This window comes from Homo sapiens, chromosome 2, assembly GCF_000001405.40.
Source record: "Homo sapiens chromosome 2, GRCh38.p14 Primary Assembly".
NCBI classification, from domain to species: Eukaryota; Metazoa; Chordata; class Mammalia; order Primates; family Hominidae; genus Homo; species Homo sapiens.
The window spans coordinates 122,127,543-122,143,783 of record NC_000002.12 but is presented as its reverse complement, the minus strand read 5'-3'; the positions used below and the strand labels follow the sequence as shown (position 1 = coordinate 122,143,783).

The 16,241-nt window shown below is 42.4% G+C and overlaps 1 long non-coding RNA gene across 6 annotated transcripts in view, besides 1 other annotated feature; it reads right to left on the bottom strand.

Annotated features, from left to right (window-relative positions):
• The window catches only part of LOC105373592 (uncharacterized), a 530,486-nt gene that overhangs the window by 289,155 nt on the left and 225,090 nt on the right, over positions 1-16,241 (bottom strand). The window lies entirely within an intron of this gene.
• Positions 7,439-7,548: a silencer, noted in NCBI's record as "silent region_11925". NCBI's record gives its function as "represses an Ori minimal core promoter by ATAC-STARR-seq in GM12878 lymphoblastoid cells {active_cell/tissue: GM12878}" and the evidence as "EXISTENCE:reporter gene assay evidence [ECO:0000049][PMID:35858748]".

Genomic DNA, 16,241 nt, shown 5'->3' with positions numbered 1-16,241 from the left:
CCTTCCAGGGACTTACAGAGAAGAGGGAAATCCTAGGCTGGGGAAAAGAAGTTGGTCAGTTGTCATGGAGACACCACTAACAGAAGGTGATGGTCACTGGAGCAAGAGGGGTGACGCCAACCATCATGTGGAAAAAAGAAAACCCATCATTGACAGTGGTATTTCTTAGCTAAGCCTTTTTAAGAAGAGGTGAGCTTACCAACCAAAAAAAGTCCACGACCAGACAGATTCTGAGCCAAATTCTACCAGAGGTACAAGGAGGAGCTGGTACCATTCCTTTTGAAACTATTCCAATCAATAGAAAAAGAGGGAATCCTCCCTAACTCATTTTATGAGTCCAGGATCATCCTGATACCAAAGCCCAGCAGAGACACAACAACAAAAAAGAGAATTTTAGACCAATATCCCTGATGAACATCGATGCAAAAATCCTCAACAAAATACTGGCAAACTGAATCCAGCAGCACATCAAAAAGCTTATCCACCATGATCAAGTTGGCTTCATCCCTGCGATGCAAGGCTGGTTCAACACACACAAATCAATAAATGTAATCCATCATATAAACAGAACCAAAGACAAAAACCACATGATTATCTCAATAGATGCAGAAACGGCCTTCGACAAAATTCAACAGCCCTTCATGCTAAAAACTCTCAATAAATTAGGTATGATGGGACGTATCTCAAAATAATAAGAGCTACTTATGAAAAACCCACAGCCAATATCATACTGAATGGGAAAAAACTGGAAGCATTACATTTGAAAACCGGCACAAGACAGGGATGCTCTCTCTCACCACTCCTATTCAACATAGTGTTAGAAGTTCTGGCCAGGGCAATCAGGCAGGAGAAGGAAATACAGGGTACTCAATTAGGAAAAAAGGAAGTCAAATTGTCCCTGTTTGCAGATGACATGATTGTATGTTTAGAAAACCCCATCATCTCAGCCCAAAATCTCCTTAAGCTGATAAGCAACTTCGGCAAAGTCTCAGGATACAAAATCAATGTGCAAAAATCACAAGCATTCCTATACACCAATAACAGACAAACAGAGAGCCAAATCGTGAGTGAACTCCCATTCACAATTGCTTCAAAGAGAATAAAATACCTAGGAATCCAACTTACAAGGGATGCAAAGGACCTCTTCAAAGAGAACTAAAACCACTGCTCAACAAAATAAAAGAGGACACAAACAAATGAAGAACATTGCATGCTCATGGATAGGAAGAATCAATATCGTGAAAATGGCCATACTGCCCAAGGTAATTTATAGATTCAATGCCATCCCCATCAAGCTACCAATGACTTTCTTCACAGAATTGGAAAAAACTACTTTAAAGTTCATATAGAACCAAAAAAGAGCCCGCATTGCCAAGACAATCCAAAGCCAAAAGAACAAAGCTGGAGGTATCACACTACCTGACTTCAAACTATACTACAAGAGTACAGTAACCAAAACAGCATGGTACTGGTACCAAAACAGAGATATAGACCAGAGCAGATATAGATATAGAACAGAACAGAACAGATATAGATATAGAACAGAACAGAGCCCTCAGAAATACTACCACACATCTACATCAAACTGATCTTTGACAAACCTGAAAAAAACAAGAAATGGGGAAAAGATTCCCTATTTAATAAATGGTGCTAGGAAAACTGGCTAGCCATATGTAGAAAGCTGAAACTGGATCCCTTCCTTACACCTTATACAAAAATTAATTCAAGATGTATTGAAGACTTAAATGTTAGACCTAAAACCATGAAAACCTTAGAAGAAAACCTAGGCAATATCATTCAGGACGTGGGCATTGGCAAGGACTTCATAACCAAAACACCAAAAGCAATGGCAACAAAAGCCAAAATTGACAAATGGGATCTAATTAAACTAAAGAGCTTCTGCACAGCAAAAGAAACTACCACCAGAGTGAACAGGCAACCTACAGGATGGGAGAAAATTTTTACAATCTACCCATCTGACAGAGGGCTAATATCCAGAATCTACAAATAACTTGAACAAATTTACAAGAGAAAAACAAACAACCCCATCAAAAAGTAGGCAAAGGATATGAACAGACACTTCTCAAAAGAAGACATTTATGCAGCCAACAGACACATGAAAAAATGCTCATCATCGCTGGCCATCAGAGAAATGCAAATCAAAACCACAATGAAATACCATCTCACACCAGTTAGAATGGTGATCATTAAAAAGTCAGGAAACAACAGGTGCTGGAGAGGATGTGGAGAAATAGGAACACTTTTACACTGTTGGTGGGACTGTAAACTAGTTCAACCACTGTGGAAGTCAGTGTGGCGATTCCTCAAGGATCGAGAACTAGAAATACCATTTGACCCAGCAATCCCATTACTGGGTATATACCCAAAGGATTATAAATCATGCTGCTATAAAGACACATGCACACGTGTGTTTATTGCAGCACTATTCACAATAGCAAAGACTTGGAACCAACCCAAATGTCCATCAATGATAGACTGGATACAGAAAATGTGGCACATATACACCATGGAATACTATGCAGCCATAAAAAATGATGAGTTCATGTCCTTTGTAGGGACATGGATAAAGCTGGAAACCAGCATTCTGAGCAAACTATCGCAAGGACAGAAAACCAAACGCCACATGTTCTCACTCATAGGTGGGAACTGAACAATGAGAACACTTGGACAGAGGATGGGGAACATCACACACCAGGGGCCTATCGTGGGGTGGGGCGGGGGGATAGCATTAGGAGATATGCCTAATGTAAATGATAAGTTAGTGGGTGCAGCACACCAACATGGCACATGTATACATATGTAACAAACCTGCATGTTGTGCACACATACCCTAGAACTTAAAGGATAATTAAAAAAAAAAAAAGAAGAAGAAGAGGTGAGCTCAGAAAGCTCAGGAACCAAACTCTCTATGTGTACAGCGGGGTAGTGATAGGCAGCTAGCAGTGCTGCTATGAGTGTTCAACGTGATCCTGAATATAACAGGTCTAATGCAGTGTCAGGCACATTTAATATACAGTAGCAACTATTAACTGGTCAGTTAATTTCCCAACACTTTTATCCCCAGAAGCTGAAATTCCCTAGAAAATGCCTTTTGAATTTGGATGTGAGGAGACAAGTAAAAATTGTTTCTCCACTGGAGTCTCCACTGGCAGATTTGTTTTCCCTAAAGTGCCTCTTTTATTTAATCCATGATATTATTCCAGTATATCCATTATAGCAAATACTCTTAAGAAGCAAGGCTTGAATTCAGAAATAAATTGCACTCACAGATCATATCTGCGAATGTGCATCATTAGTGTTTAACTGGCAAAACTAGATACAAGGAAGATAGATGATCCCATTGGAAAAAGCCAAATCGGATTTTGAAGAGACTTTGACTTGCCCCCTTTCACTTTTTCTTCCTGGCAAAGGAAAAGCAAAAACTAAATGGCTTCGCATATGGTTTTTGTGCATTTGCAACAAGTCAGGAGAGGCACATTGGTCTTCGGCTGGTCAGCTCTGTGGGCCGTTTATCTGTTATTGACATCACAGAGAAAGCCTGGGATGGAAACAACTCCTCATGTTTGCGTCAAGTACTGTTAATATTTGTTTGCAGCCCTCCTTTTCTTCTTAGAACTGAAAACCAGCCATCTATTTCCCTCAGACTAGAATCTATTATTTATGAATTATTTCTCTATTCATCGCTTTGCTCTGAAACGCGGTACTGCCAAACCCTTCCAGCTGATCAAGGGTTTCAGACAAAAGGAATGCAAAGACAGAACAGCATCCAAAAATAGAAATTAAATCCATTTATCCTTATTCCACCTGACAAAGGAATTATGCTGACTGGCATGATTTTTACCTACACACAGGAAAAAAATGGTGAAGAAAAGAAAACCTATGTTTGAATGTTCCCAGCCTCCCTTTTTATTGGCCCTACAGTGCCCTTCTTCCCTCTTCTCTGGCCCCCGGGTCCCTGGCCTGGCCAGCTCCCACCCGCTTTCCAGGCAGGCTTTGCCACGGAACACCAGAGCTCAGTGAGGCTCCTGAGTACCACCGTCCAGACCCTGGGCAAGACCCAGGAAGAAGCCACAAGGAAAGGCCAGCAGCAGAGGCAGCCCAGCCCAAAACAGGAAGTGCAGGAAAAGACCTGGGCAAAGTGAAGCAGGGATCCTGGGAAGCTTTCCCAAAGAAAGACGCAGGGTTCCGTGACTCCTCTAATTGATCCCACAGCCACATCAACCTGGGCTGAGGACGCAGGCCCAGTCATAGGGCTTAAGTTTACTTTAAAGATAACGAACTCCATCCCGGTGCCCCTCCACCGTGGTGGGCCTGGGGTCCATTTCCATTCTTCCCAGTGAAACTTCTATTTCAATGGTTTAACTAGACACATTAGTCCAGTGGTTTGAGCACAAGAATACAACATCAAAAATTATATATATATATGTATATATATATACACATACATACATACATATATATATATACACACACACACACACACACACACACACACACACCTAAACCCACAGGCACACATACCTTTAAAATTTCAAGTATACTTATATTGTCCAAGCAAATATGTATATATTTATTAATACATTCTGAAAACTAGCCACAGTTACACGCAATAATGTTTCAAACTTCAGACAACTTTAAGTCTCCAGAATCCAGCTACAGTTAAGAAGGCAAAGAACTTGGCCCCTGAGTGGCCAAGCCACTAAATACAGTTCCTGATTGTCCCACATGTCCCTGGAGTCTAATCTAGTCCATGAAGTAGAATTGTGGGCCTGGGGCTGACAGCAAAACTCTCACTTCTTCAGAGCTGCAAATGCAAAAAAAATTAGGAAATGGGCACATTGAGAGGAAGAGAGTAAGCCAGAAAAGAGAATGCACACAGCATCAAATCAAAAAATCAGCCTACACTAGTTGCTGGGAGCCAGAGGATTCAAACACCAGGCAGACAAGAACAACAACCTCCGACTGGTGCTGGCAGGTGGGAGGGGTCCTGGGTGAATACCGAAACCTGGAGGAGTAGCCGCAGCGGATAAAGCGTATGTGCTGCCTGGTGCCTGAGAGTCAACAGCCTGGGTTTCTTTAAAGGCCTAGAGATGCAGAGCAAGACACACAGCAATTGCCCCAGGCCTCCCTGTTGAACAGCAATTGAACACGCTGGAGTTTCTCATCTTCCGCTTAGAGCAAATCAAAAGCAGCAAATTACAAGTGACAAGCAAGAAACTGACACTTGTTACTCATGACACAGCAGCAGGGAGTAACAGCGGGAATGTGACAAAAGGAAAAGAAACTCCCTAAATTAAGAAAGGACATAGACAAGAACTCTAAGCACAGCTCCGCCACTTCCTAAGGCCCTTGATGATGTCACTTAGCCTCACAACGATGTGCCTTCCTTGTCTGTTAGATATCAATGATGACACCTGTTCGCGGGGCTGTCATGAGGATTTAATGAAACATGGATCTGAAGAGTCAGTCGGTCCCTGGTACATAGAAGAAGCCCAAAAACATTGCTTCCTTCCTCCGTTCCTACATGGATTAGCTTCAGTCCACTCGCCTAACAAAGCACTTGACCCTTAGCTGCTCTCCCAGAGAACCAGGGAGGAATGTTGCTATTATCTCATATTGAGGAGAGAATGAAGACTCAAGGGTTAGACCACATGGACAACTTTAAAAAACCAGAGAAGGCTGATATGGTTAGGCTTTGTGTCCCCACTCAGATTTCATCTTGAATTGTAATCCTCATAATCCCCACGTGTCAAGGGAGAGATCAGGTGGAGGCAATTGAATCATGGAGGGGGTTTCCCCTATGCCGTTCTCGTGAGAGTGAGTTCTCATGAGATCTGATGGTTTTATAAGGAGCTCTTTCCCCTTCGCTTGGCATTTCTTCTCCTGCCACCGTGTAAAGAAGGTGCCTTGCTTCCCCTTCACCTTCTGCCATGATTGTAAGATTCCTGAGGCCTCCCCAGTGATGCTGATCTGGGAGTCAATTAAACCTCTTTCCTTTATAAATTACCCAGTCTCAGGCAGTACTTTATAGAAGTATGAAAAGGAACTAATACAATGGCCTTTTAAGAGGAGAGTCAAGTGTGAAATTTCTTGGCATGACACCTTGGATACCAACCAACAGGTGCTGCCATTGTCACCGTCGTTGTTGTTTTGACAATCTGCAAGAGAAGAAAATGCTTCACCCCTGTCTTAGTCTCCTTAGGCTGCTATAAGAAAATACCTCAGAGTGGGTGGCTTATAAGCAACAGAAATTTATTCCTAACAGTTCTGGGAGGTCCAAGATCAAGGTGCTGGCAGAGTTAACGTCTGGTGAGGGCTGGCTTCCTGGTTCTTAGACAGCATCTTTCTCACATGGTGGAAAGGGCAAGGGGTTTCTCTGAGGCATCTTTTAGAAAAGCTCCAACCTCATTCACAAGAGCTCCACCCTCATGACCTAATCACTTCTCAGAGGCCCTGCCTCCCATCACTGTCACCTTGGGAATTAGGATCTCAGCATATGAATTTAGACAGGGACACAAACATTCAGACCACAGCACCCTTTTATGAAACATCCTGCTATGGTTTGAATGTTTCCCCCAGATTCATGTGGTGGAAAAGTAATCCTCAATGCAACTGTGTTGGGAGGTGGAGCCTAATAGAAGGTAATTGAGTCACAGAGCCTCATAGTGGGCCTTGCAAGTCGTGCTACTGGGACTGGGCTTTACTGCAGGGCCTCTGGAGTGTTTCACACTGTGGAGTGGCAGGCCACATTTGCACTCTGGAAACACCATTCCTTATGGCAAGTCTCCTGTGGCTCCAAGGGGACTTCCTCTATTGCTCCTTAGCACCGCAATGTCTAGGGAGAAATAGCATACAAGCTATACTTGATGTAATTTTAAATTTTCTTGCATAAAAATAAAAAGAAACAGATAAAATTAACTTTAACAATATTTTTAACCTAACATCTCCCAGATATTATCAATTTAGCATGTTATCAATATACAAAAATACTAATAAAGTATATTACTTTTGTATCCATACTTAGCCTTTGAAATCTGGTGTGTATTTTGAACTTACAAAACATCTCAATTCTGACTAGCCACATTTCACATGGTAGTTAATGGCTACCACAGCTGACAGTGCAGATCAGACGCACCCTCTGGTGACCTGGGTTTAAACAAGCATTTTGGAGAGAGTCTCCACTGGATGTAAAAAGCATTGAAAAGTCATTATGAGGAAGCTGGGAGAGAGACGTGCAGATTGACCGTCCCACTTCACCAATAAACCCCAGCATGCCCTCCTGGAATTTTCTTTAAGATAAGAATCTTTATCTTATTTGCCATAAATCTTACCTTCAGTCAAAACAAAATGCCATTCCTTGGTGCCTTGGAGAATACCAGAGTCTGGAAAATGAAACTTGGAGGAAATACTAAAGGGTCTTCAGGAGAACTCATGTGGTCTCCTCGTGCCACCTTGGGACCTCCACCAGGAGCACATTGAAGCACTGGCTACTTAGGACCCCTAGAGGGCGTGGGGATTCTGCATGGTCCTGGGGTTCCCAGGGTAGAAGTGTTCTTCCTGCCAGAGAAGCACCCAGAGTGTCCCTGGCACCATTTCTTCAAGGGGACAAGAATCTGTTGGTGACCAGCACCAGAGTGGAGGCAAGAAACCAGTAATACCTGGTTTCCACACCAAACTTTTTGAATATTCTCCAACAGCAGATTTCCCTTACAAATCTGCTGTTGGAGAAACAGGCAAACCACAAACACTCTTTCAAGCACAGAACTCTCCGAGAAGTTGATGGGCTGCCTCTCACTCTTCCAGTGTAGCTGGAAGAATGCGCAACGTGGTTTTTGGTACAAGCCAGGAGCAAACTGGTATTTTCTTCTTTATCTTCCTCTAAAAGCAGATCTGTGGGGCAAACATTCTTGCGGGGAGAATAAAAATATTGTGTGCTTTGATTTTGGCCTCACTGCATATTTTGTCAACACAGGTTAACAAGGCAAAAGGGGAAGAGAAAGGACAAAAAGACAAGTGTGAGGGGCTTTATGTAAGAAAAGCTGCTGATAAGCACATGAGCCACACACAGCCCTTTCAGTGCCTGCATCTGGTGTGTGGAGATAACAAAGGCACCTTACCCTTTTTGATGGGGGAAAGAGGTTTTGCCATGTGACAAGTTAGCTCCACTAGAGAAGGAATTTTATATCAGTTATTTCCCTCATGTTAAAACAAAAAAACGGAGAGAAGCAGAGCGTCACGCCCAGCACATGCGGCAACCTTATCTTCTCCATAGCTAACTCTTTTCCTCCATGAGCTCGTCCAGTCCCGTGGCTTTAAATTCCATCTAAATGTGTGGTTCCCAAGGGTTTACCTTGAGCCCCCTGCCCAGCTCCACCACGCCCCATCTGTTCCTGGCCCTATTTCCCTCTCATCGCAGTTGACTGATTACTCAGTCCAGAACTCTTACAGGTACCCTTGACTATCTCTCTCTCATCCCACAGTCAAACCATCAGTAAATCTTGTGGCTCAGAATGCACCCAGGATCTGACCACTCCCATCCTCTGCCACCATCCTAAGCCAGCCCCACCTCTCCCCTGCTACACAGGCTTTCTCAGCAGTCTCCTCACTTCCACTCTACCAACCCCTACAATCCACTATCCACACAGCAGTGAGATTGCTCCTTTGAGAACCTAAGTCAGATCATGTCATTCCTCCACTCAAAGTCGTCAGCTCCCCAGCTTCCACTGAATGAAAGCTCAACTCCTTGCCAAGGCCTGCAGGCCCTCCAGCAGCTCCCACTCAGCTCCAGCCACTATGACCTCCTTGCTGGCTCCCTAGGGATGCCATTTCACTCCTGCCTCAGGGCCTTTGCACTGCAGTCCCTTTCGACTAGTCCTACCACAGACCTTCACACAACTCTCTTCTTCAATTCATTCAGTTATACGACCAAAGCCACCCCTTCAGAAGGCCTTCCTAGACCACCCCACCCAAAACTGCATCGCCACTGTACTGTATTTCCTTATTCTACTTTATTTTTATTCATAGCACTTACAACTACCTGACTTTATATTATATTTTATTTGCTTACTTACCTGTCATCTGTCTACCCCCACCAAAATGTAAACTCTAGGAAGGCAAAGACTTATCTTATCCATTGCTACATCTACATGCCTAGAAGAAGAATGCTTAGTACCTAGACAATCAATAAATATTAGTCACACACAAAAGATGTATTGTTCGGGATGTGGAAAAAGGGAACCCTTGTACCCTGTTGTTGGGAAAGTAAATTAGTATGGCCATTACGGAAAATAGTACGGATGTTCCTCAAAAAAATTAAAAACAAAACTATGATATGATCCAGCGATTCTACCTCTGGGTGTATGCCCAAAGGAAATAAAACCGGTATGTCGAAGAGATATACTGTCCAACATGTTCATATACTCACATGCTCATTTTAGCACTATTCACAATAACCAAGACATGGAACCAACCTAAGTGTCCATCAGTGGATGAATGATAATGAAATCATGGGGCCAGTCGCAGTGGCTCACGCCTGTAATCCCAGCACTTTGGGAGGCTGAGGTGGGAGGATCATGAGGTCAGGAGTTCAAGACCAGCCTGGCCAACATGGTGAAACCCCATCTGTACTACAGATACAAAAAATTAGCCAGGCGTGGTGGAGCATGCCTGTAATCCAAGCTACTCAGAAGGCTGAGACAAGAGAATTGCTTGAACCTGGGGGGCAGAGGTTGCAGTGAGCCAAGATCGCACCATTGTACTCCAGCCTGGCAACAGGGCAAGACTTTGTCTCAAAAAAAAAGAAAAAAAAGAAATCATGGTATGTATACACAATGGAATACTAATCAATATTTTGAAAAAAGGAAATCCTGTCATTTTCAACAATATGAATGAACCTGGAGGATACTATGCTAAGTGAAATAAACCAGGCAGGCTTTCTCCTATGACCGGCGAGGCCACGGGACCTGGCCCCAACAGGGCTCTCTGGGCTCATCACTCACTAATCTCTTCCCTTCTTACTGTTTCTGGAACATAATAAGCTTATTTGCCCCTCAAGGCCTTTGTCCTTGTTATTCCCCTGCCTAGAAAGACTCTCCCTTCACTCAGATGCTGCTTCACTCAGCCATCCTATCTAAGATAGCCACCACGGCCACCTCAGCCCCGACTTGGACACTCTGGGCCTTCAATCTTCTTCATTTTTCCCCAGAACTTTATACAATCACTTCCTGGACTTATTCGTTTGTCTTCCTGGTGGTATGAGACCTCCCTGAGGACAGATTGTTTTCCTGTCTTCCGTATCCAGGACATTGCCTGATGCACAGTAGGTACCCAACAAATATTAGTAGAATAAATGAATGAGGCAAGTAGCCAGAAGGAGACTGTGTAACCCACATGCAAATAAAAGTGGAAAATGTGTTCCTGCTGTCAGCAACCTTATCCCCCAAACCTATGGTCTCCTATGGAATGGTTAAAAACTCTGATTCAACCCATTGGAAGCTTAGGCCACTGTCATGGGGTGAAGATCTTAGCTATGACACCCCAGAAATAAAGCCAGGGGAACAATCTGCAAGTAAGAGACTTCAGCATTGGGAATCAGGAATATGACACATCACTACTTTGGTTATAGATTAAGCTTGCTTTGATCCCAGACCTCTCCACCTTTGCTCACTTTTTTTGCTGTCAGCCACCCCAAAGTCTTAAAAAGATAAGGCAGAATGGCAGTGTGTTTTCTTTCAAGAGTTTTAAATAGGAAAAGTTCCCAGTACTACCTAGTCTGAGCTGAAAAGTTTCCACTCCTGAACCTTGGTATCTAATAAGATTTTTCTTCCTACCCAGCAAAATTATAAGTTCAAAAAAACTTAGTCATGGAATCAATGAGCTAGAAGGTTTATCCATGTACATTAAGTCCAGCTTCTCCCATTGCACAGATGAGGAACCTGAGGCACAAACACACAATCGGCTCAACGTTTCATGGTGAATTTGGGCAGAGTGGAGGCAAGAACCTTGGCTTGTGCCTTCCACTTAAAGCACACTCAACTACCAGCTGCTTAACCTGCCCTTGAGTTTGTCCTGGGAAAGCTTCCCTACTCTAAATTTGAGACCCAAATAAATTATTTTCATAAAACCTAGAACTGAAGGTCATTTGGCCAAAATGTGACTGCATCTGGTTGACTCCTTCACAAGGCAGGCAATTGCTTGAACAGGCTGAACTGTTGGAGTTGTTGCTTACGTTGATTCTGGCTCTGCTTCCCTGGTGCCTCTATTGGTCCCAAGTGTGCCCTCCGGGAGGCAGATATGACAGTGATTAAAAATATGTGCTTTCATAACAGATGAATCTGTTTCAAATTCTGGCTCCTCCCATTACTAGAGGTGTGGCCTGGTAATATTTATTTAGCCTCTCTGCAAGATGGGAAACAGTGTGAATAATATGACCCTTTTATGTAGATAAAAATAGATGGGCATAGATACACCCTGTTTCACTGACTCTAAGATGCACATGTAACCATTCTACCAAAAATTTAAAGGACCCAGTTCAAAATGGCTGACTAAATGTAGCCATGTGTACCTCCTCCACAAGAGAAACAAAACCAGCAGGTAGATATTCCCACTTTAGATCAATAGATCACCTAAGAGAGACACTGGGACTCAACACACAAGAGTCAGGAAGCTATTGAAGAAGAGAAGGACAGGCAAGCCAGGCAGCCTGCTCAACCAGGATCAGCTGGGAACCAAAATGTGAGGAAAGGGAAAGTGAGAGTCCCCCAGGCCTCCTCCGTCCTGCCACAGACTTTTACAATTCTAGATGTGGGAGAGCCCCTTGACCCATGCAGGCCTTGAGACTAACACAGAGAGGTGCCTAGAGATTGCACAGAGGCACTGCTCCAGAGAGGAAGCTCACACTGAATCCCACAGGCTTCCAAGCCCTGAGAAGCTGCAGCTTGGTGCCAATCTGAGAGCTAAGCCCCCAAAGAAACATGTCCTGCCCTGCGTCCAACTGGACTGCTGCCACCCCAGGCCAAGGAGGGAGAGGGGAGAGTAGGCACTTTCACATGCCATGAAGACAAACCCCACTGCCACTGCTGTGGGCTGCTTTAGGACCAAAGGGCAAGAAACCACACTCCGCACTGCAACCCACATATGTCACTCCAGCAGAGGGGCCCTGCCTTCCCAGATCACAGGCCTGCAGCCAGCACCATTCTGACGGCCCAAACTCCTAATGGCTGCATCTTACCTTGGGGCCAGGGCTGATGCTTCTATTGTCACTGCCTAGCCAAGGAGGGAGAAGACAGGCTGGGATTTCACACACCACAAAGATGAATACCACCACCGCCACTGCAGGCTGCTGTAGAACCAAGGTACAAGGAAACCATGCATCCCAAAGCTACCTGTCTACACTGCTCCCACTGAGAATAGCCTCACCCTCCCCAGTGGAAGGCCTGCAGCACAGCCATCACCACTCACACATGACCATTCTGCCCATGGACTGGAGATCACTCCATCCCTGCTTATCTCAGCCAGTGACTGAATGTACTACCAGGGGGCCTGAGGACAAGTCTGTCAGCCTCGTCCTCTCTCCCTAGTACTTGAGCATGCCATCCAGGAACCTGGAAACCACCCAGCACAGTCCATCACCATTTGCACCTGAACACTTCTCCCAGGGTCTGAGGTCAGGCCATCACAACCTGCCAATGACCACCACAGCTGGCACCCACCCTCATGCACCACCAGCAGGCCAAGTGACTGAAACACCCAACCTGTCATGGTCACCACCAGCATCAACATGGTCCATTTGGATTCCAGTGGATTGGTCCACCACCACTACTGCCCTTGTTGCACATCACATCTGCTACCCACGGACCCAAGAGCCCACCAACACACCCAGCCCACCACTGCCATTACTGGCCTCTGAGCAAGCCACCTGGAGACCCAAGCATCAATCTTCCTGGACCAACTAACACTGGTACCAGTGTATGCCACCCTGAGTCCCAAAGACAGGTGTGCTCAGCACACCACTGCCATCCCTGGAACCTGAAGACTGACCCACCCTGGCATCCCAGTCCCTGGCAAAACTTTATCACGGACTCCAGTAATAACCACTCTAAAGCCAACAAGGAAATCACAGGTGCCAGTGGCACTGTTTGCAGTCAAAGAAATCATACAGAGATTACATCCATACATGCACCCCAAATCAAAGCCAAAGCACCCAATGTGACCAACAATGTAGATACATCTATAGGGAAAAAAAATCTCCCCTATAAAAGCAGATTCAAAAAATTGGAAGAAGTGGCTGTTACACCAGATGCACAGATATCGATGTAAGGACACAGACACAGAAACATAAAAAAGCAAGGAAATATAGTACCTTCAAAAGAATACAATAATTCTTAAACAACAGACACCAATCAAGAACAACTTTATAAAGTCCCAGGTAAATAATTTAATTACTGATTTTTAAACTTAGCAAGACACAAGAGAATCCTGAAATATAATACAGAGGAGTCAGAAAAACAATTCAGGATAAGAATGAGAAATTTAATAAAGAAACATTCTAATGGACATTCTATTAAAGAGGCATTAATAGACATTCTATTAAAGAACTAAGGAGGACTTCTGAAACTGAAGACATCATTGAATGAAACACAAAATACATTCAACAGCTTCAACAATAGATAGTTGAATAGATTCTTTCTTCAAGTAGAAGAATTTCAGAACTTAAGTCTTTTGAATAATCCAGTCAGACAAAAATAAAGAAAACAATAAAAAAGAATAAGCAAAGCTTTTGTAACATTTGGGAAAACATAAAGCAACCAAAAAGAATTGTCAGTAACCCTAAGGGCAAATAGAGAATAAAAGGATTGGAAAACTTCTTTAATGAAATAATAGATGAAAACTTCTCAAGTCTGGCAAGAAATATAAACATCCAGATACAGGAGGCTTAGCAATCCCCAGGAAGATACAAATGCAAAAAGATCTTCTCCACAGCCCGTTATAGTCAAACTGCCTAAAGTCCAAGATAAAGAGTAAATCCTAAGAACAGCAAGAAAAAAGCATCTAGTCACCTCTAAAGGAAACTCCATTAAACTAACAGTGGATTTCTCAGCAGAAATCTTACAAGCCAGAAGAGAACTGAATGACATATTCACAGTGCTAAAAGAAAATAACTGTCAGCCAAGAATGCTATACTCAGCAAAATAATCCTTTGTAAATGAAGGAGAGATAAAGCCTTTCCCAGACAATCAAATCCTGAGGGAATTCATTACCACTAGACCAACCCTACAAGAAATGCTCAAGAAAGTCCTAAACCTGAAACCAAAGGGATATTTACAATAATGAAAACACATAAAAGTATAAAACTCACTGGTAAAGCAGTCACACAAATGAGGAAAAGAAAGGACTCAAATGATACTACTATAGAAATCCACCAAACCACACTGAGAAACAATATGAGAAAAATGAAGAAAGTATGTATATATAAAACAACCAGAAAACAATTATAAATAGACAGGAACAAAACCTCACATATCAATAATAACCTCGAACATGAATTAAATGCTTCACTTAAAAGATATCGAATGGCTAGAGATTGTGCCACTGCACTCCAGCCTGGGGGACAGAGTGAGACTCTGTCTCAAAAAGAAAAAAAGATATATCATGGCTAAATGGACTTTTAAAAACATGACCCAACTACAATACGTTAACTATAACTTATTATAACTATAACTGGTAAGGTGAGTTTCTTATAAGCAACTGTAATAAGTTTCTTACAAGAAACTCACCTTACCAGTAGAGACACATATAGATTGAAAGTAAAGGGATGGAAAAAGATATTCCATGCAAACAGAAACAGGAAGTAAGCATTAATAGCTATATGTATATCACATGAAACAGACGTTAAGTCAAAAACAGTAAAAAAAAAAAAAAGACAAAGAAGAAAATTATATAAAGGGATTGATCCAACTAGAGGATATATAAATCTTAAATATATATGGGCCCAACACTGGAGCACAAAGATTCATAAAGCAAATATTCTAGACCTAAAGAGAAGGATACACTGAACACAATAATACTGAGGGACTTAAACACCCTACTGTCAGCATTAGACATATCATCAAGACAGAAATTTCAACAAAGAAACATTATATTTAAACTGGACTTTAGACCAAATGGACCTAACAGACATTTACAGAATATTCCATCCAACAACTGCACAATGTACACTTTTTTTCATTAGCACTTAGAACATTCTCCAGGATAGATCACATGCTAGGCCAAAAACAAGTCTCAACAAATTTTTAAACATCAAAATTATATCAAGTATCTTCTCAGACCACAGTGGAATAAAGCTACAAAGGAATTCCAAGATAAACTTTGGAAACTATAAAAATAGATTACCATAACCCTAATTAACAACATGCTCCTCTATGACCATTAGGTCAATGAAGAAATTAAGATAGAGATAAAAAAAATTTTTGAAACAAATGCAAGTCAACACACCAAAACCTGCAGGACACAGCAGAAACAGTGCTAAGAGGGAAGTTTATAGCAATAAATGCCTACATCAAAAAAGTAGCAAGATTACAGATTAATATTCTAACAATGCACCTATTGGATGTCTTCTACAATTACCAAAAATGTTTAATTAAAAATAACAATGCACCTTAAGGAACTAGAAAAACAAGAATAAGCAAAACCTAAAATTAGCAGAAGAAAAAAAAATAACAGAGATTAGAGCAGAAGTAAATGAAACAGAGACTAGAAAAACACAAAAAATTAGTGAAACAAAAAGTTCATTCTTCAGAAAGATAAAATTGATAAGCCACTTAGCTAGACTAACCAAAAAAAGAGGAGAGAAAACTCAGAAACGAAGAAGAAGAGATTACAACTGATACCACATGTATTAGTTTGTTCTCACATTGCTATATAAATAAAAAAAAAACCTACATGAGATTGGGTAATTTCTAAATAAAAGAGATTTAACTGACTCATAGTACCACAGGCCATACCAGAAGCATGTGTGGGGATGCCTCAGGAAACTTACAATCATGGCAAAGGGCCCCTCCCCCAACATTGAGGATTACAATTCAACATGAGATTTGGGCAGGGACATAAATATAAACCACATCATTCTGCCCCTGGCCCCTCCCAAATATCATGTCCTTTTCACATTGCAAAATACAGTCATCTCTTCTTCACAGTCCCCCAAGTCTTAACTCATTCCAGCA